We start from the raw sequence: 26962 nt of genomic DNA on the forward strand, positions 1-26962 counted from the left end.
GTAAGTTCTTTAGTAGTGATCTGTGAGATTTTGGTGCACCCATCATCCTAGCAGTACACAGTGAACCCAATTTGTAGTCTGAAAAGACATGTTATTTTCTATAGTCTTAAGCAGGAAATCCAAAGTGCTTCAGACTAATTAATAACCTTATACTTACTCTGGCAGAAGTTTATATTTCTCCAAATCAATTTCTGGAAAAAACGTGTCACTTTCAAAGTCTTGCATGATCCTTGTCACAAATAGTTTAAGATGGCCTGGGTGATTCATGGCTTCCTTTGAAATAAAACAACATCAGTTTTCTTAATGTGTGTCAAAAGACAAAGAAACTCTAAGATTTATGTTTAGTTAAGTTTATACTAGGTATTAAAAATATGCTTGGTGCTGCCAAAGCATATTATTAAAATATACTATTCTTTCATCTGGGGTGCTGCAAAGTATGCCTTAGTTATATTGAGAATGACACTAACCATTATCAATAATTATGAGAGACTGAGTTTAAATATAGTCTGGCCTCCAGTTTGCTTACAAGAACTTTTTAATTTAAGCATTCTCTTTTATTGTTTTCCCTTTGGCTGTTTAGAGTTAAGAGCCCCAAATTATCTAGTTGCTCTCCATAGAAAAATTTACATAAACTTGTATGAATAAGATAGTACAATTTAATGAGACCTTGACTATGGAAAACCCCAAGAGCATACTTAATACATATACATAAAATTTTGTAATGCTTCCAATTCTCAGAAGATAATTACAATGCTAGTAGATAGGTAATTTTTCTGCTTCTTGGTGCTAACAATTGTATTAACATTTGGCTTTATATTGTACATGACTTTTCTAACTACTGCCTAAAATATGGTTGATAATTTCTACAGAAAAAGTTGCCCTAGAATGAGTGTATTAAAATTCTCATTCATAAAAAGTATGTCTTAATTGCAATTCTAACAAAGCAGTAATTCTTGATCTCAAATAGTTTATAGAAAAGAAAAATACACACACACACACACACACACAACAAATCCAAGTGTTTATTTTTAAAATTCCAAATAAGGGTACAGAACAAATTTCACTTTTTATTTTCAATATATCATTTTATATTAAATCATTTATTATCTTTGCTACAACCAAATAGATGCTCTACTAATTCTTACTGTACCAAAAATTTAAAAAGTGGAATGCAGACTCCCCCCTTATCTGCAGTTTCACTTTCCAGTTTGTTATCTATGGTCAACTGTGGTCTGAAAATATTAACTGGAAAATTCCAGAAATAATTCATAAGATTTAAATGACATGCTGTTCTAAGTAGTGTGAAGAAATCTTGAGCCATTCTGCTCTGTCCTGCCTAGGGCGTGAATTATCCCTTTGTCCTGCACATGCTGTCTATGTTACCTGCCCCTTAGTCACTTAGGAGCTGTCTGGATTATTAGATTGACTGTGGTGGTGAAGTTCTGCATTAAAGTTGATTATAAGTCGGCTGCAGTGGCTTACGTCTGTAATCCCAGCACTTTGGGAGGCCGAGGCAGGTGGATCACCTGAAGTCAGGAGTTTGAGACCAGCCCGACCAACATGGAGAAACTCCATCTCTACTTAAAATACAAAATTAGCTGGGCGTGGTGGCGCATGCCTGTAATCCCAGCTACTTGGGAGGCTGAGGCAGGAGAATCACTTGAACCCGGGAGGCGGAGGTTGCGGTGAGCCAAGACTGCACCATTGCGCTCCAGCCTGGGCAAAAAGAGCGAAACTCCGTCTCAAAAAAAAAGAAAAAAAAAGTTGATTATACAAGGCAAACCTTCTGTAAAAGGAGTGATGGTAAATATTTTAGGCTCTGAGGGCCATAGGGTTTCCTACCTTTGCAGGCCACAGACAGAACTGAATGAATGGGTGGGTCTGTGTTCCACTGAAACTTTCTTTACAAAAACAGGCTGGGAGGTCCGATTTGGCCCATAGGAAGATAAGCCTGAATGATATCTACAAGCTGTTGTGATGTGAGGCAGGTGTAAAAATACCATTCGAAGGTTCTACTTCCTATTTATCTATATGTAGATTTATCATATTATATAAAGGCATTTACGTACTTATATTGCTTAAAGAATACATTTTCAAGTGACTATGGTAATGAATCATTCAAAGTGTGGTAGGCACTGAACAAAATAAATAACTTGTTTTCTTAGAAGAAATTCATACTTGGATAAAAATATCAAGAAAAAATGTCCCTTTTCTTCTATTACAAATGGGGAACATAAGAGGTTCTAGAAACAGGAGCCCAAGAAACTGAGAGTTTTTTTTTTTTTTTTTTTTTTTTTTGAGACAGAGTCTCACTCTGTTACCCAGGCTGGAGTGCAGTGGCACGATCTCAGCTTACTGCAACCTCTGCCCCCCATGTTCAAGTGATTTTCCCACCTCAGCCTCCCAAGTAGCTGGGACTACAGGGGCCCGCGCCCACACACAACTAATTTTTGTATTTTTAGGAGAGATGGAGTTTCACCATCTTGGCCCAGCTGGTTTTTAGATCCTGACCTCAAGCAATCCACCCGCCTTGGCCTCCCAAAGTGCTGGGATTACAGGCGTCGGCCTACCTCTTCTTTCTAAAATAATTTCACTGTATATATCTTACCACAAGACCACCCACATGGCAGAAACTAGATTTTTCTTCCTCCTCATAAATGTTAATTTTTCATTGGTGTTTTAAAAGGCAAAGAATTCTATTTGTTATCCTCAAAAATTTTAAAGCTGGAAGTCATTTGGTATTAAAAAAGAGGTATATTGGCCGGGCGCAGTGGGTCACGCCTGTAATCCCAACACTTTGGGAGGCCGAGGTGCGTGGATCAGCAGGTCAGGAGATTGAGACCATCCTGGCTAACACAGTGAAACCCCGTCTCTACTAAAAATACAAAAAAATTAGCCAGGTGTGGTGGCATGCGCCTGTAGTCCCAGCTACTCAGGAGGCTGAGGCAGGAGAATGGCGTCAATCTGGCAGGTGGAGCTTGCAGTGAGCCGAAGATCGTGTCACTGCACTCCAGCCTGGGCGACTGAGTCTTGACAGAGTGAGACTCCATCTCAAAAAAACAAAAACAAAACAAAAAAAAATTGGTTGAAGAAGTTTTCTACTTGTAATAAATTCATATACATCTAGTTAGTGTATATCAACTGAGAGCCCCAACCCTTTCTCAGTAAGAGATATATTCATCCTGAAAGACAAAGGCATAACTCAGTGTATCTAGGGTACATTCAGGGAGTAGAAACCAGTGCAATGCAAGTACAATTCTCAGGAAAAGATTTAGAATGGATTTTAAATTGGAAACATCAATTATTCTTTGATTTGAAAGTAGATTGGTATTGGGGAGATGTTGGTCACAGGATACAAAATTTCAGTTACATAGGAGGAGTAAGTTCAAGAGATCTATTGTACAACATCTATTATTTTAGTTAATAACAAATGTATTCTTGAAAATTGCTAAGAGAGTAGACTTTAAGTGTTCTTACCACACAAAATAAGTGGGTAATACATGTTAATTAGCTCCATTTAGCCATTCTACAATGTATACACATTTCAAAACAACATGTTGTACATAATATATATATATATATATATATATATATATGCAATTATTTGCCAATTAAAAAGATAAATAGGCTGGGTGTGGTGGTTCACACCTGTAATCCCAGCACATTGGGAGGTGAATTGCCTGAACCCAGGAGTTCAAGACCGGCCTGGGCAACATGGCAAAATCCTGACTCTACAAAATATACAAAAATTAGCCGGGCACGATGGTGTGTGCCTATAATCCCAGCTACTTGGGAGGAAAGGTGGGAGGATTGCTTGGGCCTTGGAGCTCGAGGCTACAGTGAGACAGTGCCACTGCACACTAGCCTGGGTGACAAAGCAAGACCCTGTCTCAAAAATAAATGAATAAATAAAAAAGGCTGATACAGACTAAAATATTTATTTTTGCATTTCTATTTAGTTTGTATAGTATCAAACAACAAATAATTTCAACTAACAACAAATAATTTACAGTACAGATAATGTGCTGCTTCCTATACGCATGGCTTAATTTTTTAAAGGTTCAGACAATGAGTTATACCTGTTTCTTCCACTTCCTTTAAATGGCAAGGAAGCTGAAAGTAGAACAGAACATTTGTTTTTATTTACCAACAACTACACTTACCTTATAAACAGAACTGCCACCAACTATCCAGACCATGTCTACTTTATTTGCTAATTCTGGTTGTTCAGTAAGTTTTAAGGCATCATCTAGACTTCTGGAAAGAAAATGAGCTCCTTGTGGAGGTTCCCTAAGGTTAAAAAAAGAATTCCACAAAATGTTTGTAAAATCCATCCATACTAGTCAAATAATCTGACTAAGATGCAGTGACTATAGAACTAAAATCATCATAAATATGAATCCTTTCAACAAAAAGCACTTAACATCAGTATGGCCTCTGACCAATAATTTAACCTATATTTGTACATCTGTGGTTCACAATGAATCATAAAACCATGTGATATCTTGTGATATCTCTGGTGGAAAAACATCAGAATAGTAGTTATTTCTGGAGGGGTGGGATAAAGATTAACTTGGACAGGGCAGGAGAGAACTTTCTGGGGGTGATAGGTAATATTCTGTATCTTTGATAGGGCTGGGGTTACACAGGTGTATACATTTATCAAAACTTAGCAAATGTACATTTAAGACGTGTGTCTCATGTAATATTTACTTCAGAAAAAAACTGTAAAGAAAGACTGAATCATTTTATTTATTTATTTATTTATGAATGAGACGGAGTCTTGCTCTGTAGCCCAGGCTGGAGTACAGTGGCGCGATCTCAGCTCACTGCAAGCTCCGCCTCCCAGGTTCATGCCATTCTCCTGCCTTAGCTTCCTGAGTAGCTGGGACTACAGGTGCCTGCCACCACGCCCGGCTAATTTTTTGTATTTTTAGAAGAGACGTGGTTTCACCGTGTTAGCCATGATGGTCTCAATCTCCTAACCTGCTGATCTGCCCGCCTTGGCCTCCCAGAGTTCTGGGATTACAGGCGTGAGCCACCGCACCCGGCCAAGACTGAATCATTAATGGTATGAATGATGAAGTATTTAGGTGGAAATATACTAATGTCTGCAGTTTATTATGAAATGCAAAAATGAACAAGACCAATTGATGGATGAAATGTGATGAAACTAGTAGAGTAAAATGTTAATGGTAGATCTAGGTGGTGAGTTTACTGTAAAGTTCTTTCTGTATGTGTGAAGATTTTCCTAATATTAGAAAAAGAGTGATATGTTTGAATGACTGCAGAAAAGCTTGGAATGACATTCAGACTGTTAATATGTTGTTACCTTTGGGAATGGGGAAAGGATTTATGTTTCAAACAATACAGGAATGGGTGAAGTATTAAAAAATGAGCTTATTATTACTTATGTAATTAAAATCCAAAAGGGAAGAAGTTAATTAATTTCAGTGTTTACTCAGGGGTGGTCCAATATTTTGGCTTCTCTTGGCCACATTGGAAGAAGAATTGTCTTGGGCCACACATACAATACACAAACATTAACAATAGCTGATGAGCTTTAAAAAAAAAAAGATCTGTGCATGTTTTAAGGAAATTTACTAATTTGTGTTGGGCAGCATTCAAAGCCATCCTGGGCCACACTGAGGCCTGCGGGCCATGGGCTGGACAAGCTTGGTTTACATTGACTAGCTTAGTCCCTCCCAATCTCTGAAACTACTTTGTTGGTCGTGGTGGGGGTTGCAATTCCCTTTATAAATGATGAAACAGGTAGAACTAGGCTTTCATAGTAATTAGATACACAACAGAAATTACAATTCCATGTCAAGTTTTTAGCCTGGTGCTTTAACAAGATTATATAATTGCCCTTGAACTCATAGTTATAATAAGGATTAATCAAGAATAGGGACTATTCATTCTCTTGATTGCCTCCTCCCTCTCCCTCCTCATATAAATTTTACTTATTTTACTCTGTCATTCTTAAAAGAATTAGGTTAGAGCAAAGAATATACTTTGACTCAGGCTGGAAAAAGACATGGTGGCCAGAGAGAAGTTAAATAAGCCCAGGTATCTCCTAAGGTATCAGGGCAGTTACAGGGACCAGGTTGGATTAGGCTCTTCAGGGAGAGAACTCAATCTAGAAGAAACAAAGATTTGGAGTTGGGAGAGAAGAGAGTTTAGTTAATAAACAGATGATGGCCAAAACAGAGCCGTGACGGTGTTAGTAAGTGCAGCTGTGAAGACTTCCTTGCCCTTTTTTGTAGTGAGTATAGAAAAGAAAGTGAAGAACAGATTAGCCAGGTGTGGTGGCTCACGCCTGTAATCCCAGCACTTTGGGAGGCTGAGATGGGCGGATCACGGGAGGTCAGGAGTTCCAGACCAGCCTGGCCAACAAAGTGAAACCCCGTCTCTATTAAAAATAGAAAAATTAGCTGGGTGTGGTGGCACGTGCCTGTAATCTCAGGTACTTGGGAGGCTCAGACAGGAGAATCGCTTGAATCCAGGAGACAGAGTTTGCAGTGAGCTGAGATTGTGCCACTGCACTCCAGCCTGGGCGAGACAGCGAGACTCTGTCTCAAAAAAAACCAACTCCACTCCCCCCTTCCCCCCAAAAAACCCATATTAAATATAGTGCAAAGTTAGAGATTTAAGTTAGAGCAAAGGTATGAAGAATATGCTTCCGTAAAATGTGGCTATTTAGCAGTTTAGAGGTAAGTATCACAGGAAACACTGGACCTCTAGGTGGGTAAAAAAGAGCATGCAAAAAGCTGAGCTACGGTTTGAGTTCATCAGCCCTTACATGGCACAAGCGCTAGAAATACAGTAAATGACAAATAGCAAGCATCCAATATAGTCACATATTTCACTGCTGAATTTCTTTCCTATAATTATTTTAAACCAATCTAGATTGGATTCCCTGACAAAGGAGAGTTGGTATGTAGTAGCATATGTATTCTTTGTTAAGAAATGTGTGGACATTTCTTTGTGATTGAGTCTTGAAGGTTTGCATGAAGACTAAATGAGATAATGTACACACTGCATTTAACTGGCAATTGTACGTGGTACTATCATTCCTTTTTATAGATGAGGAAACTGAGGCTGAATGGTTAAGAAACTACTGGTCACACAGCCGGGAAATGATGGACCTCCGAGTTGAACTCCAACAGATTTGACTTTGAAACTTGAGCTGCAATTTGTTACATGGACAAAAGACTTCAGTTGGTGCCTGTGGCAGGGTCCTCCGATTCAGGGGCCCTTAAACATCAGGATGGTGGGGCTTAGATTAGGCAGAACCCTCTGACTCTTGTCTTCTGGCCTTATCTGATTATCTCGGGTGCCATATAAACATTATCCTTTTTCACTGTTCCTGATGTGAGGACTGCCGATGGAATTCTTGCTCAATTTCCCTGAGGAGTGTTGGGAAACCACTTAAAAACAAAAAACCCTGAAATGGAATAGTGTCTTAACCAGAACGCAAAAATACATCTTCAATTTAAGACCCTTCATACTGAGCCTTTAAAAATGGGGTTCCCTACTAAGCCATACCTCATTTTACTGTGCTTCACAGATATAAAGGTGTTTTTCTTTTTTACAAATTGAAGGTTTGTGCCAACCCTGCACTGAGCAGGTCTACTGGTGAAGTTTTTCCAACAGCATGTGTTCACTTTCTATCTCTGTTACCTTTTGGTAATTTCCACAATATTTCAGGCTTTTTCATTATTAAAATACGTTTTGGGGATCTTGCTGTTACTGTTGCAAGTAACTGTTATGGGGTGCCATAAATCATGCCCTTTTAAGATGGTGAATCGATACATGTTATGTGTTCTGACAGCTCCACTAACTGGCTATTCCTGTTTCTCTCCCCCTCTTCTGGCCTCCCAATTCCCTGAGACACAACAATATTGAAATGAGGCCAATTAATAACCCTACAATGGCCTCTAAGCGTACAAGTGAAAGGAAGAGTCGCATATTTCTCATGTAAAATCAAAAGCTAGAAATGATTATGCTTAGTGAAGGAGGCACATCAAAGCCAAGACAGGCCAAAAGCCATGCCTCTTGCATCTAACAGCCAAGTTGTAAATACAAAAGAAAAGCTCTTGAAGGAAATTGGAAGTGCTATTCCAGTGAAAATGTGAATGGTAAGAAAGCAAACAGCTTGGCCAGGCGCGGTGGGTCACGCCTGTAATCCCAGCACTTTGGGAGGCCGAGGTGGGCGGATCACGAGGTCAGGAGATCGAGACCATCCTGGCTAACACAGTGAAACCCTGTCTCTACTAAAAATACAAAAAAGTGTATGCCTGGCTAGGCATGGTGGCAGGTGCCTGTAGTCCCAGCTACTTGGGGGGCTGAGGCAGGAAAATGGCGTGAACCCAGGAGGTGGAGCTTGCAGTGAGCTGAGATCACGCCACTGCACTCTCCAGCCTGGGCGAAAGAGCGAGACTCCGTCTCAAACAAAAACAAAAACAAAAAAGCAAACAGCCTTATTGCTGATGTAGAGGAAGCTGAGTGGTCTGGATAGATCAAACCAGCCACAGTACCTTATGCCAAAGCCCAATCTAGAACAAGGCTTTAACCCTCTTTAATTCTGTAAAGGCTGAGAGAGGTGAGAAAGCTATAGAAGAAAAGTTTGAAACTAGCAAGGGTTTGGTTCATGACGTTTAAGGAAAAAGCTGTCTCCATAAGAAAAAAGTGCAAGGTGAAGCAGCAAGTGCTAATGTAGAAGCTGCAGCAAGTTTATCCAGAAGATCTGGCTAAGATCATTGATGAAGGTGGCTACACTAAGAACAGATTTTCAGTGGAGACAAAATAGCCTGCTATTCAAGGAAGATGCCATCTAGGACTTCATAGCTATAAAGGAGAAGTCAATGCCTAGTTTCAAAGTTTCAAAGAACAGGCTGATTCTCTTGTTAGGAGCTAATGCAAGCTGATGACTTTCAGTGGAAGCCAATGCTCATTTACCATTCTGAAAATCCCAGGGCCTTTAAGAATTACGCTAAATATACTCTGCCTGTGTATTAGAAATGGAACAACGAAGTTTGGATGACAGCACGTCTGTTTATAGCATGGTTCACTAAATATTTAAAGCCTCCTGTTGAGACCTACTTCTCAGGAAGGAAGATTCCTTTCAAAATATTCCTGCTCATTCTGCAGCCCATGGATCAAGGAGTAATTTTGACTTTCAAGTCTTACTATTTAAGAAATACATTTTGTAAGGCCGTAGCTGCAATAGCCTCTGATGGATCTGGGCAAAGTCAATGGAAAACCTTCTAAAAAGGATTCACTATTCTAGATGGCATTAACAACATTCATGATTCATAGGAGATCAAAATATCAACATTAACAGGAGTTTGGAGTTAGTTGATTCCAACCCTCATGATGGCTTTGAGGGGTTTAAGACTTTGGGGGTGGAAATAACTGCAGATGTGGTGGAAATGGCAAGAGAACTAGAATTAGAAGTGGAACCTGGGCTGGGTGTGGTGGCTAATGCCTGTAATCCCAGCACTTTGGGAGGCCAAGGTGGACGGATCACGAGGTCAGGAGATGGAGACCATCCTGGCTAACACAGTGAGACCCTGTCTCTACTAAAAAATACAGAAAACTAGCAGGCGTGGTGGCGGGCACCTGTAGTCCCAGCTACTAGGGAGGCTGAGGCAGGAGAACGGTGTGAACCCGGGAGGCGGAGCTTGCAGTGAGCTGAGATCGGGCCACTGCACTCCAGCCTGGGCCACAGGCAAGACTCCGTCTCAAAAAAAAAAAAAAAAAAAGTGGGGCCTGAAGATGGGATGGAATTGCTGGAATCTCATGATAAAATGTCAATGGATAAGGAATTACTTCTTATGGATGAGCAAAGAAACTGGCTTCTTGAGATGAAATCTACTCCCAGTGAAGATGCTGTGAACATTGTTGATCACGAAAGATTTAGAATACTATGCAAACTAAGTTAATAAAGCAACAGCAAGGTTTGAGAGGACTGATTCCCATTTTGAAAGAAATTCTGTTGTGGGTAAAATCCTATAAAATAGCATCACATGCTCCAGAAAAATCTTTCTTCAAAGGAAGAGTCTATCAATGTGGCAAACTTCATTCTTGTTTTAAGAAATTGCCACAGCCACCCCAGCCTTCAGCAATCATCACCTTTATCAGTCAGCAACCATCAATATCAAGGCAAGACACTCCATAGTGAGAAGATTATGACCCACTGAAGGCTCGGATGATTGTTAGCATTTTCCAGTCATATTTTAACTAAGGTACATACATTTTTTAAAGATATACTATTGCACATCTATTAGACTATCAGTATAGTGTAAATATAACTTTTATATGCACTGAGAAAAAATTTATGTGACTACCTATATTGTGATATGCTTTATTTATTGCAGTGGTCTGGAACTGAACCTGCAGTGTCTCTGAGGTATGCTCATATTAAAAATTGGGTATGATCCAGCCTCATAATGGAATACTATGCAGCCACTAAAAATATTTACAGGACTTTATTTTCTAATATATTGAGGGAAAAAGAGGTGGGTTACAAAGTGGTACTATGTGGGATGGTTCTATTTTTATAAATCACCTATGTACTATTCATTCTGTGATTTTTGAATTCCTACTTTGCTAGGGGTTATGCTAGATTCTGGGGATAGAGATAAAATATGCAGTCCCTGAACTCAAAGAGATTGTGATAGCAGTCAGAAATATCTCAGCAGTGACTATAATGTATGAAAGGACATACAACGAAGACATGCAGAGGACGCTATACAGGAACGCAGGGCCGGGGTGATGAGGGAGAATACTCCTCAGGGCATGACTCCTTAACTGAGTGTCAAAGGAGATAAAAACATGTGCAAAGGCACAGGCATGACAGACTACAACCAAAGTGTAGTATAGAATTTTATTTTAATCATACTAAAGTTATTTAATACAAGAAAGCTCTGAGAAAGTTGAGGGTAGAAGAAAAGTAAACTATGGTGAGGTTTAAAACAGGGTAGGCCGAACACGGTGGCTCACGCCTGTAATCCCAGCACTTTGGGAGGCTGAGGTGGGCAGATCACCTGAGGTCAGGAGTTTGAGACCAGCCTGGCCAACATGGAGAAACCCCATTTCTACTAAAAAACACAAAAATTAGCTGGGCATGGTGGCACATGCCTGTTATCCCAGCTACTTGGGAGGCTGAGGCAGGAGAATTGCTTGAGCCAGGGAGGTGGAGGCTGCAGTGAGCCGCGATCACACCACTGCCCTCTGGCCTGGGTGACAGTGGGTCATTCTTGTCATACCCAACTAAATCAGAGTTGAGGGGCCAGGGGAAAAAAGCACTCAGGGTATAAAACATTGCTCCAAGAATGTAATTCTCTGTAAGCCTGACTGCTGGAACTGCTTGTTGTAACCTGAAACCAGTTTTATCTATAGCTTCTGAGATAACTTGCTGCAACTCTAGAACTGATTTTGCCCACCACTCACTGCTCGCCAGTCGGAGCTTGCTAGCTCCCCCAAACCTTAGTAGTGCCAATGAACTTTCTCAAAGAGCAGTAACATTTCTCCTTTTAAATAAAACCTCTAACCTTCCCTTTGTTCTTCAGACATATGGAAGGTCACTTGTCTGCATGTATGCCCTAAACTGCAATTTTTTCTTCCCAAACACAATGTTAAATTTAGAGAATTCATCGCAAAATTTTTATTTTGCCTTTGATAATACTAAAAGGTTGGGACAGCAGAGCAAGGTGAAGATAGAAAAAAAGGAATCCAGAATCAAGTCAGGGGAGATGAGAGAGTTGATTTAGGTGGCAGTGGATTTTTGTCTCAAGATGGAGGGAAACAAGAACAAAGTAATATGTTAAGGTGAAAATGAGATCATGAGTCTGTTCACTGTGATTTCATTAATATTAATATTAATGTGTATGTTCTATAAGATATAAAGTAGCAAGTTTATGGGGGTGGGGGTAGGAACTGATATCTATACCCTTCTGTGTGCCAGAAACTTTACATACAAAATTTCAGTGAGTCTTCAAAATCACCCAAAAAAGTTGTCATTATTCATCTCATTTAATAGGTAAGGAAAGAGGTTCAACAAGGCTTACTTGTAACCTGCCTAAAGTCACAAAGTTATTAGGTGCCATAGTAGACATCAGAAACCAGGTCAGTGTTTGCTACTCCAAGTGTGTGAGTGGTAGGGGGAGAGAGAACTGCACCTTCAAGAAGTTTTAATCACTGTGGAGATTCTGATAGTGAGATCGTAAAAAATTATAACATGAAATTAAGTTAACTTTCGTGGATGGGAGACTATTTAAATCTTACATAATGGAGGCAATTTTGGATTTTCTAAAGATGGTGTCCAGGCTACTATAGCATTACAGTAAAACTTGTTTATTTAATTTTTGGTTCCAACGAGGTTTTTTTTTTTTTTTTGAGACGGAGTCTTGCTCTGTTGCCCAGGCTGGAGTGCAGTGGTATAGTCTTGGCTCACTGCAACTTCTGCCTCCTGGTTCAAGAGCTTCTCCTGCCTCAGCTTCCCGAGTAGCTGGGATTACAGGTGCTTGCCACCACGCCTGGCTAATTTTTGTATTTTCAGTAGAGACGGGGTTTTGCTATGTTGGCCAGGCTGGTCTCGAACACCTGACCTCGTGATCTGCCCACCTCGGCCTCCCAAAGTGCTGGGATTACAGATGTGAGCCACTGTGCCCGGCTGGTTCCAAAGACTTTTAAAAGCCACTTTATTGATATAAATCACACACCATAACATTTACCCTTTTAAAGTGTATAGTTCAGTGACGTTTAGTAGATTCAGAGTCGAGCAAGCATCACTCCTATCTACTTTTAGAACAGTTCCATCACACCAAAAAAGAAAACATTCTGTACTCATCAGTGGCCATTCCCACCCTTCTCACCTCAAGTTCTTTTAAAGCCACAACTTGACTGTCTAGACAACTTTGGAAAAGCATTTTCCCTCAATACCTTACTTAAGAAATATTTACCCTAAATTACTATAGTGTTTGGTAGAAAATTTTGTGATCACTTTGAGGATTCAGTTTCTTCTTACATTGGGGGAGAGGGGTGAAAAATGAAGTATCTTTAGAGTTGGCATAAGCAAGTGATTTCCATGTATAAATCTCTGCCCTCTTATTCAGGACCCTGCAGTGCCTGGCACTCAGCAGCTGTTCACTATATGTGTGGGACTGACCAACAAGTAAGGAAGTGGAAGGAAGAACAACAACAAAAAAGAGCTCTAACATTTTTTACTAACTGGTATCACTATTTCCCTGGCATGCTTGATAACAAAGACTTTAAATTTTCTCAGCCTTAAAAAAAAAAGCACAAGACACCAACATATGTTATATATAAATACAGAAGAAGCAACCAAACCCAATTACATGCATCACAGGAAGGTCGTAAAAAAAAATTACACTCATCATATTCGAGGAGAAATGCTGGCTCAAGTGAACATCTCCCCCACTGAGATTTCTTTCTGTTTGAGCTTAAGCTAGCCATAAACAAACTTGAGTAGTATTCAAAAATATCATTAAAGAGTTTCTTGGAATGGCGATATAGTCTGTGAATTTGAAATCTACCAAGGAAAGAGATAATCAGAGCATCCTAGCAACCAGAAGAAAGAACAGCATGAAGATGGAAGCAGGCAGCAAGATGCACATCAACAAATCTGCCCCGTCGCCCAGAGGCAATCAATGCAAATATTCTATACACTTTCTTCTCGGTTTTTACCTATGCCATTCTAGGAAGAACTTGGGAGAAAATCTATGTAAGCCTGAATCCCCTTAGCCTATATAGCTGTGTAGTTCTTTCCTTCCCATAGTGTTAAACTTGACTAGGATATAGTCCTTGGTTATTCAGATACTGTATCTAGGTGTTGCTTTGAAGGCATTTTGTAGATGTGATTACAATTCAGTTTTTTTTTTAAATTTTTTTGAGACAGGATCTCACTCTGTTGCCTAGGCTGGAGCGCAGTGGTACTATCTTGGCTCACTGCAACCTCTGCCTCCTGGAAACTACAGGTACATGCCACCACGCCTGGCTAATTTGTTTGTAGAGACGGGGTTTCATTATGTTGCACGGTTGGTCTCAAACTCCTGAGCTCAAGTGATCCACCTGCCTTGGCCTTCCAAAGTGCTGGGATTGCAGGGGTTAGCCACTGTGCCCGGTCAGACTTTAATCTGAGTGGGCTGAATCAATCAGTTTAAAGGCTTTAAGAGTAGAGTTGAGGCTTTCCTGAAGAAATTTCACCTGTACCACTTCAGCCCCTGCTGGAGAATTCCAGCTTGTCCTTTCTGATGGCCCGTTTTACAGATTTTTGGACTCACGTACCCAGCCCCCATAATTGTGTAAGCCAATTCCTCGCAATAAAACTCTTTAATATACCTGTATCTATCTACTACTGGTTCTGCTTCTTTGGTTGAATCTTCACCAATACACATGGGAAAAGAATACTATGACTACTGTTCCCAAGAAAGTAGTGCCCTAGGATACTGCATTCTTTTTGGTGATTATATTATTAGACTAAGAATGATTAACATGCCAGATCCCAGACCTTCCCCTTAGATCCTGATATGGTTTGGCTGTGTCTCCGCCAAAATCTCACCTTGAATTGTAATAATCCCCACATGTCAAGGGTGATACCAGGTGGAGATAAATGAATTATGGGGGGTGGTACCCCCCATGATGTTCTCGTGATAGTTAAGTTCTCATGAGATCTGATGGTTTTATAAGGGGCCTTTCCCCCTTTGCTCGGCACTTCTCCTTCCTGCCACCATGTGAAGAAGGATGCGTTTGCTTCCCCTTCCACCATGATTTTAAATTTCCTGTGGCCTCCCCAGCCATGAGGAACTGTGAGTCAATTAAACCTCTTTCCTGTACAAATTGCCCAGTCTTGGGCAGTTCTTTATAAGAACATGAGAATGGATTAACACAGGTCCAATTCTGGCCACCCCTCAACCTCCCAAGCCATTGGAGTTGACTTCCTGGGCAGTCTTAATATGATTACCCCTCCCACTCTCCAGTCACCAGGGCATATCCAGGCTTCATGAACTACTGACTCCAACCCTGGGTTGGAGGACAGGAAAATTCTTAGCAGAGGCTAACTGGAGATACCCGCTTCTCTCCAGGATCTCTAGAACCATTTCAATACTTTGAAATGTTTTACCTTCAGACACTGGGTAATGAATGTTAAGTACAAAATATTATTGGGTATTGTGGTTAACTAGGAATAACAGAGTAGAAGATTATGACCCATTTCAGCCCATCCTAAAATTCACATTTTATTGCATTTAGGGTTGGGTCCAGAAAGGGGATCATCACTTAATTTTAGCAAGTCCCAAAAAATAGTTGTTTTGACTTTATGTGAAACTACAGGTTATTGATTACACTGTATAATTTATATTTGGGCCTACTGAATGATGGTTCAAGATAACTTGCAAATCTGATACCACAGTGAGCTATTTAATGTTTAATGTAACTTTTCAAGGTGATGAAATCAATTACTCAGGTAGTAGAATAAGTTATTGTCATGTAGTATAAATAACTGCTTATTAATTTTCTATAATCACCTTTGTGATATTAAGCAGCTTCATCAATAGCTCCTTTTATACAATTTCATTTTATCATATACTGATCTCCACTATGAGACATGATTTTCTTGTGGTGAATTTATGTTAAGGTACTTACTTGAGTTCTCTGCTGAGAACTAAATTAATTCTACCCTTTAAAGGTCGATTCTTCTCAGGAATGGAGAACCAGGTCTTCTTACCCATAATCACCAGATTCTGTTTACCTATAAAATCACAAAGAAAGCCTAAGTATATTTTGGGAATATACATATATTTTCATGTATTTATATACAACATGTCCTTGAATAACATCGTTTTCTTCTAACGTTGATGAGAAAAATAATCAATTCCTGGCCAGGGCCACCGTCTGTGTGGAGTCTGCATGCTTTTCCCATGTCTGCATGGGGTTTCTCCAGGTATTCCAGTTTCCTTCCACATCCCAAAGACATGCACATTATTCTTCTTAAATGTATGTATAGCTCATATTTACTTCAGTGTTTTCTATTAGAAGTGTTTTTGGCCTTCATTTAGAAGTTTGGTGATGTTTTTGTGACCAGCAATATGCCCTAGGAACTTAACTCTTGTGTACATCCAGTAGCCTATGGTAAAATTGGTTTTGCTCTACATTGTTTCACTTAAAGTCACAGTTTCCAAGAACTCACAGATGACATTGAGGACTTATCTATGTGCATAGATATGATGGACATCCTGACATTTAGTGGATCTCCTTTAAAAAACTGAACTTAAAAGTCTCTTCACGGGCAGGTCAATTTCACTGGTTGAAAGTAAGAGACAGCTGAACCCTCGTGGAGCCATTCATACAAGTCCCTATTTAAGGAACAAGTGATTATGCTACCTTTGCACGGTTAGGGTACCGCGGCCGTTAAACATATGTCACCGGGCAGGGGTGCCTCTAATACTGATAATGCTAGAGGTGATGTTTTTGGTAAACAGGTGGGGTAAGGTTTGCCGAGTTCCTTTTACTTTTTTTAACCTTTCCTTGTGGGCATGCCTGTGTTGGGTTAACAGTGGGGGTAATAATGGCTTGTTGGTTGGTTGTAGATATTAGGCTGTTAATTGTCAGTTTAATATTTTGGTCTGATGTAGGCTTATGTGGAGGAGAATGCTTTCATGTTACTTATACCAACGTTAGTTCTTCTATAAGGTAATAGATTGGTCCAATTGGGTGCAAGGAGTTCAGTCATATGTTTGGGATTTTTCGGATGATAGGTGTTGAGCTTGAACGCTTTCTTAATTGGTGGCTGCTTTTAGGCCTACTATGGGTATTAAATTTTTTACTCTCTTTACAAGGTTTTTTCCTAGTGTCCAAAGAGCTGTTCCTCTTTGGACTAACAGTTAAATTTACAGGGGGATTTGGAGGGTTCTGTGGGTAAATTTAAAGTTGAACTAAGATTCTATCTTGGACAACCAGCTATCACCAGACTCGGTAGGTTTGTCGCCTCTACCTATGAATCTTCCCACTATTTTGCTACATAGACGGGTATGCTCTTTTAGCTGTTCTTAGGTAGCTCGTCTGGTTTCGGGGGTCTTAGCTTTGGTTCTCTTTGCAAAGTTATTTCTAGTTAATTCATTATGCAGAAGGTACAGGGGTTAGTCCTTGCTATATTATGCTTGGTTATAATTTTTCATCTTTCCCTTGCGGTACTATATCTATTGCGCCGGTTTACAATTTCTATCGCCTATACTTTATTTGAGTAAATGGTTTGGTTAAGGTTGTTTGGTAGTAAGGTGGAATGGGTTTGGGGCTAGGTTTAGCTCAGAGTGGTCAAGTTGAGTTGAAATCTCCTAAGTGTAAGTTGGGTGCTTTATGTTAAGCTACACTCTGGTTCGTCCAAGTGCACTTTCCAGTACACTTACCATGTTACGACTTATCTCCTCTATATAAATGCGCAGGGGTTTTAGTTAAATGTCCTTTGAAGTATACTTGAGGAGGGTGACGGGCGGTGTGTACGCGCTTCAGGGCCCTGTTCAACTACGCACTCTACTCTTAGTTTACTGCTAAATCCACCTTCGACCCTTAAATTTCATAAGGGTTATCGTAGTTTTCTGAAGTAGAAAATGTAGCCCATTTCTTGCCAGCTCATGGGCTACACCTTGACCTAACATCTTTACGTGGGTACTTGCGCTTACTTTGCAGCCTTCGTCAGGGTTTGCTGAAGATGGCGGTATATAGGCTGAGCAAGAGGTGGTGAGGTTGATCGGGGTTTATCGATTACAGAACAGGCTCCTCTAGAGGGATATGAAGCACCGCCAGGTCCTTTGAGTTTTAAGCTGTGGCTCGTAGTGTTCTGGCGAGCAGTTTTGTTAATTTAACTGTTGAAGTTTAGGGCTAAGCATAGTGGGGTATCTAATCCCAGTTTGGGTCTTAGCTATTGTGTGTTCAGATGCGTTAAAGCCACTTTCGTAGTTTATTTTGTATCAACTGGAGTTTTTTACAACTCAGGTGAATTTTAGCTTTATTGAGGGGAATTGATCTAAAACACTCTTTACGCCGGTTTCTATTGACTTGGGTTAATCGTGTGACCGCGGTGGCTGGCACGAACTTGACGAACCCTAGGGTTAGTATAGCTTAGTTAAACTTTCGTTTATTGCTAAAGGTTTATCACTGCTGTCTCCCGTGGGGGTGTGGCTAGGCTAAGCGTTTTGAGCTGCGTTGCTGCGTGCTTGATACTTGTTCCTTTTGATCGTGGTGATTTAGAGGGTGACTCACCGGGGCAGGGATGCTTGCATGTGTAATCTTACTAAGAGCTAATAGGCTACGACCAAACCTATTTGTTTATGGGGTGGTATGAGCCTGTCGAAACATTTTCAGTGTATTGCTTTGAGGAAGTAAGCTACATAAACCGTATGGGGTGTCTTTGGGGTTTGGTTGGTTCGGGGTATGGGGCTAGCAGCGGTGTATATGTTGAGTAAGGTGGGCAGGGAGTTGCATTGATGGGGTTAGTAGAATGTGAGTTGAGGGAGGATGATGTGTTAGTTGAGGGGTGACTGTTAAAAATGCATACCGCCAAAAGATGAAATTTGAAATCTGGTTAGGCTGATGTTAGGGCTCTTTGTTTTTGGGGTTTGGCAGAGATCTCCTTTAAAAAACTGAACTTAAAAGTCTTACCAAAATTCATACTTATCACTCATTACCTAAATCTAACTATTTTTCCCTTTGGCATTATCCAATTTATATCCAATATTTAGTTTTAATCATTTGCAATTGTGTATGACATAGTAAAGATTCTGGGGAGGCCAAGATGGGCAGATCACGAGGTCAGGAGATCGAGACCATCCTGGCTAACACGGTGAAACCCCGTCTCTACTAAAAATACAAAAAATTAGCCAGGTGTGGTGGCAGGCGTCTGTAGTCCCAGCTACTCAGGAGGCTGAGGCAGAAGAATGGTGTGAACCCGGGAGGCGGAGCTTGCAGTGAGCGGAGATCGCGCCACTGCACTCCAGCCTGGGCGACAGAGCAAGACTCCCTCTTAAAAAAAAAAAAAAAAAAGATTCTGAGTCAAAGTGCTCAAGTTGAATGCATTTTGTCACCCACAAGACAAAACGTGTTAACCCCTTGTGGTTTACTTTATCTATAAAATAGAGATAACAATAGTTCCTGCTTCTAGGGTTGTTGTGGGAATTAAAGACTTAGAATAATGTTCAGCCTCTAATCAGTGCTGTCACAACTGTCTGATACAATTGTATTATATTTGTGTACTTTGTAGATTGATATTAAATCATACTTTTAAAAATAGGTGCTTAATGTTCCACTCAATTACCTTAAAACATGTTTAATTATGTCTCTATCCTACTCTTATAACACTTCTATAAAAACTTTTTACATATAGCGTCCACTTTTGGTTCAGTTTCTTAGGAAAATAACTTTGAGAGTCAGCTATCTGAACCAAAGAAACATTAACATTACCAGACTATATTGGGATTTTTGAGACTGGCTTTTATCAATTCTTTAGCTACGGGCTCTTGTCATCATCTCTACCAGTGACCTAAGTGTCAAACCCAAATGCCTTGTATCTGTCCCATTAAAGAGATGCAGCATCTGCTCCTTTCTTACTGTTTCCATTTCCTCTGCCATGCCTCCTCTTACAACCATAAATATCCAGGTCTCTTAGGTTTTAAACGGGGCATCTCTCAACCCCCACATTCTTTTCCTTGGTTATTCCCTTCCCTCCAACAGTTCAATTCACCTAGATCCCCACGCCTGAAATTATCCTAGATGTCCTAGAGGCGCCTCATCATTACAATGGTACATTATTCTCCACTCCTTTACATGTCACGCCAGCTTTCAAACTGAAAATCTGAGCGTTCATCCCTGGTGCATCACCTTTAAATTCGAGATCTCCAAAATCCAGGGTCATGTAACCTTAAAAAATTTTTACCCTCTCTTCTCCACTGCCCTTGTTCAGGCCTTATCTCTTCCAGCAGCTGTTCCAAAGGCCTACTCTGTTTTCCTTTCGGAGTGCTCACCTCCACCGAAGCCTCCACCCAGCTGCCAATTCTGCCCCATGCCTGATAATTTGCTCGTGCGTTGACATACATAAAATTTCTAAGACAAAAATTTTTTAATAATGGTAAATGAACCTTGGGAACTGCATACAGATCATACAGATCCATAATAAGAGAAAAGGTCCCAGATTAACACGGAAAACTTTCCATTTAACTAACATTTGCACTGGTAAACTTCATCAAGCAAGACCCTACTTAATCCCACATTACCTTCTACTGAAGAGGTTGTGGTCATTCTCTGGAAATATCTGAATTCATTCCTACAAGTTAGAGAAACAGCGTTACTCGAAACATTATCCCTTGGGCTCGAGCTCTAAGGCACCTGACAAACGGAGCGCTGTGGGTAGGGGTGAGGTGTTTTCTCCAGGGCTGGGACTTTGCCCTGGGCGAGGGCGCCGCAGGGCAAAGACCTCACCGGGCAGCAGAATCCGGGCAGAAATCAGCAACTGGGCCTCCCGCGCAGCAGAAAAGGGGAATCCAGTCGGGCCCACCCTTCCTGCCAGCGCAGACCGCAAGTCTGGCCCCATCCTCTCGCCGGGAGTCGGCCACCCCGACCGTGGGCAGCCTGCGCCCGTTTGGGTCCCATCGCCCCGGCCCGGCAGATACCTGAGCGGTGGCCAGGGCAGGTCCCCGTTCTTGCCGATGCCCATGTTCTGGGACACAGCGACGATGCAGTTTAGCGAACCAACCATGACAGCAGCGGGAGGACCTCCGAGCCCGCTCGTTACAGCAGAACGCGCGGTCAAGTTTGGCGCGAAATTGTGGCCGCCCCGCCCCCCTCGTCCCCATTTGTGCAGGCGAGGCCCCGCCCCCCCGCCCCGGCGCACGCAGGGTCGCGGCGTGCTCGCGCCCGCAGACGCCTGGGAACTGCGGCCGCGGGCTCGCGCTCCTCGCCAGGCCCTGCCGCCGGGCTGCCATCCTTGCCCTGCCATGTCTCGCCGGAAGCCTGCGTCGGGCGGCCTCGCTGCCTCCAGCTCAGCCCCTGCGAGGCAAGCGGTTTTGAGCCGATTCTTCCAGTCTACGGGAAGCCTGAAATCCACCTCCTCCTCCACAGGTGCAGCCGACCAGGTGGACCCTGGCGCTGCAGCGGCTGCAGCGGCCGCAGCGGCCGCAGCGCCCCCAGCGCCCCCAGCTCCCGCCTTCCCGCCCCAGCTGCCGCCGCACATAGTAGGTTCTGTCTGGGACTGGGCAGGGCCATCGGGGCTGGGGGGGCGGGGCTTGTGGGTAAGGCGGGCGGAGGCGGGGACCCTCCGCCCGATGATAGGGCTGGAGGAGGAAGGGGCGGGCTGAAGAAGGGGAAGGTGGGAAGAGCCCAGCCGGGGCTACAAATTGGGTGAAGCGCTGAGGTTTTAGTACTTCCGTTTGAGGAGATAGGCAAAGGTTATGCAGGTTTTTAATGGCAGGCCTGAGACAGGAACTCAGGTCTCCTGACTCCCATTCTGATGAGGGGGCTTGTGGGCAAGGGGTGCGTCTTTTAACCTCCATCCTTTTTTTTTTTCCTTGGTGGTCGAAGAGTTTTACTGATTTTTTAAAAAAGTGCTGGATTGGGTGACTAGAAGAAAGCTGCCCTTAGGTCTCCAGTTTTTAAGACTGCAACAGCATGGCTCAATATTTGAAATCACTACGGTTAAAAGCAGTCATATTGTGCAGTTCCCCAGTGAACTCTTTTTGTAGTTTAGATTATAAAGTCTGAAATACAGTTTGGGTGGATAAAGTTTCTTAGGATGGTATAGATGTGACTAATCATGGAGTCCTTCCTGTTGCCATCCTTCAACGCAATAAGTACGTTTGTTTGTTTTTAAACCAGAGATACTGCCACAGGAAAAGCCCAAGGGTGACCCCTCACTTGGGTCACCTGCACAGTATTTTTCAGATTGAGGCTGTGGAAGGGCATTGAAGACTGGTGTTTAGCCACCTACCGTGTTTTAATGTAGGTGGCAGCTTGGGTGCTTCAAAATCTTGTTCCTTTCGTATATATTTCTCCCTTAAAATGATTACTCCTCTTCTGTTTTTTTTGAGGACGAGCTACGTTTTCATGAATTCACCAAAATTTTGCACCCACCATTTAAAGGGTAGCTGGTGAAGGACTTATGTATGCTTTTGGCAAGTTTTCTGCCAAGAAAAAATTCATAATCTTGTCACATCTTTAGTGATGAACATAAACCTTTTAAACAGGAAACACTTAAATTGCAGTGAACATGTCAAAAATGATACTGTTCTTTTATTACCTATCTTTTCCCCTCTGTGCCTTTGCTACATAACTGTTTATTTCTTAGAGGTATTTTATTTAGCATATGTAAGTAGGGTGATTCAAGTTTTATAATTAGAGAAAGCTGAAGGCTCATTGAATCAAGACCGGTAGCAGCCTTGGTTTCAATTAATTCTAAACACGGCTTGAGTTGCTGAGGCTCCTGACTATCAGACTCTACCTTGTCTTTTATGGTGTTAAAAACAGTTCACCCATAGGGTTTTCCAGAGCTAAAAGTAGAGGATTCTTTGAAGAGTGGATGGCAAGGAACCTTGTCATTCAGTTGTAAGGTTTAAATTGCTTCACATACGTCAGGCCTTCTCAGAGTAGAGATAACACATCATTTTCTAACCTTCCCGATATAGGCTACAGAAATTGACAGAAGAAAGAAGAGACCATTGGAAAATGATGGGCCTGTTAAAAAGAAAGTAAAGAAAGTCCAACAAAAGGAAGGAGGAAGTGATCTGGGAATGTCTGGCAACTCTGGTGAGTTGTGGGGGATTCTTTTTTCTCCTCAGTCATGGCTCTGGTATTCTGGAATTCTCCAGAGGGCAGAAGAGCGTATTAGAATTGTGTCTTTTTTCTTTGTGGAGAAAGGTCCCTTTTGTTCCTGAGCAGAGTGGCCCCCTATAGGTGATGGTGATGTGTATAGGAGGTTAAGGGGATGGTAGAGCTACAATTCTGCAATTTAGCTGTAGTTCTCCCAACTTTCTCCTTTATTCCTTCTAGCTATTTTTGTCCTGGTTATAAAATTAAAACATTCTTGCTACAGAAATTTCAAACAGTACAGAAATGTGGAAGGTAGGCAGTGATAGACCCCATAATCCCTCCCTTTGAGTGAGGCCCACTGCTATTGGTGTTCTGTATATACTTCCAGATTTTAAAAATTTGTACATGTGTATATGTGCATAGTCATAAGCTCAAAAATTAGTTTAAATATATTTTACAGATTATATTATATTCTATACTAATTTGCTACTATCTTTTTCTACTTAATAGAAAATTTTGAACAATTTTCAGTATCAGGACCTGCAGATCTACTCTCCCCGCTTTTTTTTGCTTAGAGCTGCTCTTTGTGTATGTAAAAGGCATTGAATAAAAACAGCATGCCTAGGCTGGGCGCAGGGGCTCACACCTGTAATCTCAGCACTTTGGGAGGCCAAGGCAGGTGGATCACCTGAGGTCAGGAGTTTAAGACCAGCCTGGCCAACATGGTGAAATCCCATCTCCACTAAAAATACAAAAATTAGTTGGGCGTGCTGGTAGTTGCCTGTAATCCCAGCTACTTGGGAGGTTGAGGCAGGAGAATCACTTGAGCCCAGGAGGCGGAGGTTGCAGTGAGCCAAGATTGTGCCACTGCACTCCACCCTGGGCAACAAAGCGAGACTCTGTCTCAAAACAAAAAACAAACAAAAAACAGCACAAAAATAAATAAAAACCCAGCCTGCCTGAGTGCCTGAGTTCCTGGATTTCTAGAGGTGGTGTTGCATATAGACAGTTGAGCAGATTTTTCTCTAGTTTTATGGTACCAGAGAATTTGTGATAAGGGAAGACAGGAAATCCATCTTTATTCATTATCCTCAGGAAATTAGGTAAAGAGAATGAGAAAAAAAAAAAGTTCCAATTCAGATAGAGGTATCTGTCCAATGGAGATATATGTAAAATATTAATCCTTCCATAAAAGGTAAAATTTGAATTTTAGGGTCAACATGAAAGTGTTAGTATGAAATAACTACAGGAATGGAGATGTGTGGCTAAGGAGAAAAGTAAATCTAAAACTTCACCTTTCTGGAGGGGTCATGCAAGGAGGCGTGACTTGAGAGAATTTGCCACGGTTAATGTTACAATTCTGGGGCAGCCTACCTTTCATTGCTTGATTATTCTGCATAGACCCATTTTTTAGGTCTACAAACACTGAATGAGCACCTATGATTTTTATTCTAGAGGCTTTTTGTAGCTCATTTATTTTTCCTAAGAATGCTTTTTGCCCTCTTTTTTTTTTTTTGAGATAGGGTCTCTCGCTCTGTCACCCAGGCTGGAGTGCACTTGTGCAATCTCAGCTCACTGTAACCTCCTGGGTTCAATCTCTGCTCACTGTAACCTCCTGGGTTCAAGCAATTCTCCTGCCTCAGCCTCCCGAATAGCTGGGATTACAGGTGCGTGCCACCACACCTGGCTAATTTTTGTATTTTTAGTAGAGTCAGAGTTTTGCCATGTTGGCTAGGCTGGTCTCAAACTCCTGGCCTCAAGTGATCTGCCCGCCTTGGCCTCCCAAAGTGCTGGGATTACAGGCGTGAGCCACTGCACCCGGCCTGTTGTTCTCTTTTTATAGAGGAAGAAGTGGGTGATAGATGAAGAGAATTGATGATTATCACAGTTAAGTAACTTAACTAAGACCACATGGGGACAGTTGAGATGGAATGTTGTTGAAATAAGACAACACACTTGGCATATTTTAAAATAGGACCTTTGCCACTTGTTAAAAATGGCACTAAGGAAGAAGGGGGAGGATCATTCACTAGTCAGAAGCTGGGTGACTGTTCCACTTCAGTTTATTTTATTTTTTAGAGACAGGTCTTACTCTGTCATCCAGGCTGGAGTGTAGTGGCAGGGTCATTGCTCATGTAGCCTCAAACTCCTGGGCTCAAGCCATCCTCCTGCCTTAGCTTCCTAGTAGCAAGGACCACAGGTGCATGCCACCATGCCTGGCTAATTAAAAATATATATATTTTTTTAGAGACAGGGTTTTGCTGTGTTGACCAGATTGGTCTTGAATTCCTGGTCCCAAGCCATCCTCCTGCCTCAGCCCTTCAGTAGCTGGGACTGTGCTCCTGAGCCATCATACCTGGCAAGTTTTTTGTTTTTGTTTTTTTCTAATAACAGAATTATTAAGATATAGTTCTTGGGGCCAGGCACGGTGGCTCACGCCTGTAATCCCAGCACTTTGGGAGGCCAAGGCAGGTGTATCACCTGAGGTCAGGAGTTCGAGACCAGCCTGGCCCACATGGTGAAACCCTGTCTCTGCTAAAAATACAAAAATTAGCCGGATGTGGTGGCGGGCGCCAGTGGTCCCAGCTACTCAGGAGGCTGAGGCGGGAGAATCCCTTGAGTCTGGAAGGTGGAGGTTGTAGTGAGCCGAGATCGTGCCACTGCACTCCAAGCTGGGTGACAGAGTGAGATTCTGTCTCAAAAAAAAAAAAAAAGATACAGTTATGCAATATGATTCACCCATTTAGCATGCACAATTCGGTGGCTTTTAGGATATTCCCAGAGTTGTGCAACCATCATCAAAGTCAATTTTAGAACATTTTCATCACCCCAAAAGAAACCCTGTGCCCATTAACAGCCACCTCCTGTTCTGCCCCAGCACTCCCCAGCCCTAGGTAACCACTAATCTACTTTCTGTGTATAGATTTGCCTATTCTGAACATTTCATATAAATGGAATCATACAATATGTGGCCTTTGGTGTCTGGTTTCTTGCAGTTACTGTAATGTTTTCAAGGCTCATCCGTGTTGTAGCATGTATCAGTACTTCATTCCCTTTTCTAAAAATATTCATTTTCTTTATTGTGGTAAAATATACATAACATAAAATTTATCATCCTAGACATTTTTAAGTATACAGCCCAGGGGTATTTAGTACATTTATATTGTTATGCACCCACCACCACCATCCATCTCCAGAACTCATTTTATCTTGCATTCCTATAACTCTGTACCCATTAAACACTGACTCACTGTAACCCCCTTCCCCCAGCCCCTGGCGCCTACCATTCAGCTTTCTGTCTCTATCATTTTGGCTACTCTATAATGCATTCATTCCTTTTTATTTCCAGGCAGTATTCCATTGTATATATCCACCTCAGTTCTTAACTCTTCAATTAACAAGTTATTTTTTATACCTGGGATCCACGGGGGAAGGAAACTTTTATACTCACAAGCAAACTTAGATACATTTGAAAAGCCAGTTAAGTACGTATTTTTGAAAACCAAGGGAATAATAATAAAGTAAGAGATGCATAGTCCATTTTCACACTGCTGATAAAGACATACCAGAGACTGGGAAGAAAAAGAGGTTTAATTGGACTTACAGTTCCACATGGCTGGGGAGGCCTCAGAAACATTGTGGGAGTTGAAAGGCACTTCTTTTTTTTTTTTTTCTTAATTTAAGTTCTGGGATACATGTGTAGAACATGCAGGTTTGTTGAAAGGCACTTCTTACATGGCGGTGGCAAGAGAAAATGAGGAAGAAGGAAAGGTGGGAACCCCTGATAAACCCATCAGATTTCATGAGACTTATTCACTATCATGGGAATAGCATGGGAAAGACTGGCTCCCATGATTCCTCCCACTGGGTCCTCCCACTGGGTTACCTCTCACTGGGTCCCTACCACAACACGTGGGAATTCTGGGAGATAAAATTCAAGTTGATATTTGGGTCGGGGCACAGTCAAACTATATCACATTGGAAAAGATTCAAAAATATATTTTTAGCATAAAGGAAGTCATGGTAAACAAGGTAACTGTATATTGGAAAAGTCATATTTAGAAGAAAAGAGTCACTGTATTTCTTCGGAGATTCTTAGCCTTTAGCATATAAGACATCAAAGGTTTTTTATTTTTAATTATAGAGG

The 26962-nt window shown here is 41.6% G+C and overlaps 2 protein-coding genes and 1 pseudogene across 5 annotated transcripts in view, besides 6 other annotated features; 1 reads left to right on the plus strand and 2 right to left on the minus strand.

Annotated features, from left to right (window-relative positions):
• The window catches only part of DHFR (dihydrofolate reductase), a 28758-nt gene extending 7494 nt beyond the window's left edge, over positions 1–21264 (minus strand). Inside the window, exons 1-5 of one of the 4 annotated variants that reach the window (NM_000791.4) lie at positions 20685–21264; positions 20289–20338; positions 15670–15775; positions 4164–4290; positions 158–273 (exon numbers count right to left, since the gene is read on the minus strand). In NM_000791.4, coding sequence (NP_000782.1) covers positions 158–273; positions 4164–4290; positions 15670–15775; positions 20289–20338; positions 20685–20770 — 485 coding nt within the window. In that variant the 5' untranslated portion in view covers positions 20771–21264. The remainder of the gene's footprint in view (positions 1–157; positions 274–4163; positions 4291–15669; positions 15776–20288; positions 20339–20684) is intronic. The other 3 variants (NM_001290354.2, NM_001290357.2, NR_110936.2) reach the window with 3 other exon arrangements.
• On the minus strand, positions 16701–17311 carry MTRNR2L2 (MT-RNR2 like 2 (pseudogene); annotated as a pseudogene).
• Positions 18011–18305: a silencer, noted in NCBI's record as "tiled region #13584; K562 Repressive DNase matched - State 16:ElonW". NCBI's record gives its function as "represses a minimal TATA promoter and a strong SV40 promoter by Sharpr-MPRA in K562 cells {active_cell/tissue: K562}" and the evidence as "EXISTENCE:reporter gene assay evidence [ECO:0000049][PMID:27701403]".
• Positions 18011–18525: a biological region, named in NCBI's record as "Sharpr-MPRA regulatory regions 13584 and 3862".
• Positions 18231–18525: a silencer, noted in NCBI's record as "tiled region #3862; K562 Repressive non-DNase unmatched - State 16:ElonW". NCBI's record gives its function as "represses a minimal TATA promoter and a strong SV40 promoter by Sharpr-MPRA in K562 cells {active_cell/tissue: K562}" and the evidence as "EXISTENCE:reporter gene assay evidence [ECO:0000049][PMID:27701403]".
• Positions 20759–21368: a silencer, noted in NCBI's record as "silent region_16140". NCBI's record gives its function as "represses an Ori minimal core promoter by ATAC-STARR-seq in GM12878 lymphoblastoid cells {active_cell/tissue: GM12878}" and the evidence as "EXISTENCE:reporter gene assay evidence [ECO:0000049][PMID:35858748]".
• Positions 20759–21554: a biological region, named in NCBI's record as "NANOG-H3K27ac-H3K4me1 hESC enhancer GRCh37_chr5:79950324-79951092".
• Positions 20786–21554: an enhancer, noted in NCBI's record as "NANOG-H3K27ac-H3K4me1 hESC enhancer chr5:79950324-79951092 (GRCh37/hg19 assembly coordinates)". NCBI's record gives its function as "activates a minimal SCP1, AML or CMV promoter by ChIP-STARR-seq in primed H9 embryonic stem cells {active_cell/tissue: H9 hESC(primed)}" and the evidence as "EXISTENCE:reporter gene assay evidence [ECO:0000049][PMID:30033119]".
• The window catches only part of MSH3 (mutS homolog 3), a 222164-nt gene continuing 216134 nt past the window's right edge, over positions 20933–26962 (plus strand). Inside the window, exons 1-2 of the mRNA NM_002439.5 lie at positions 20933–21245; positions 22692–22812. Of these exons, the coding sequence (NP_002430.3) occupies positions 21009–21245; positions 22692–22812 (358 nt within the window). The 5' untranslated portion in view covers positions 20933–21008. The remainder of the gene's footprint in view (positions 21246–22691; positions 22813–26962) is intronic.

This window comes from Homo sapiens, chromosome 5, assembly GCF_000001405.40.
Source record: "Homo sapiens chromosome 5, GRCh38.p14 Primary Assembly".
NCBI lineage: Eukaryota > Metazoa > Chordata > Mammalia > Primates > Hominidae > Homo > Homo sapiens.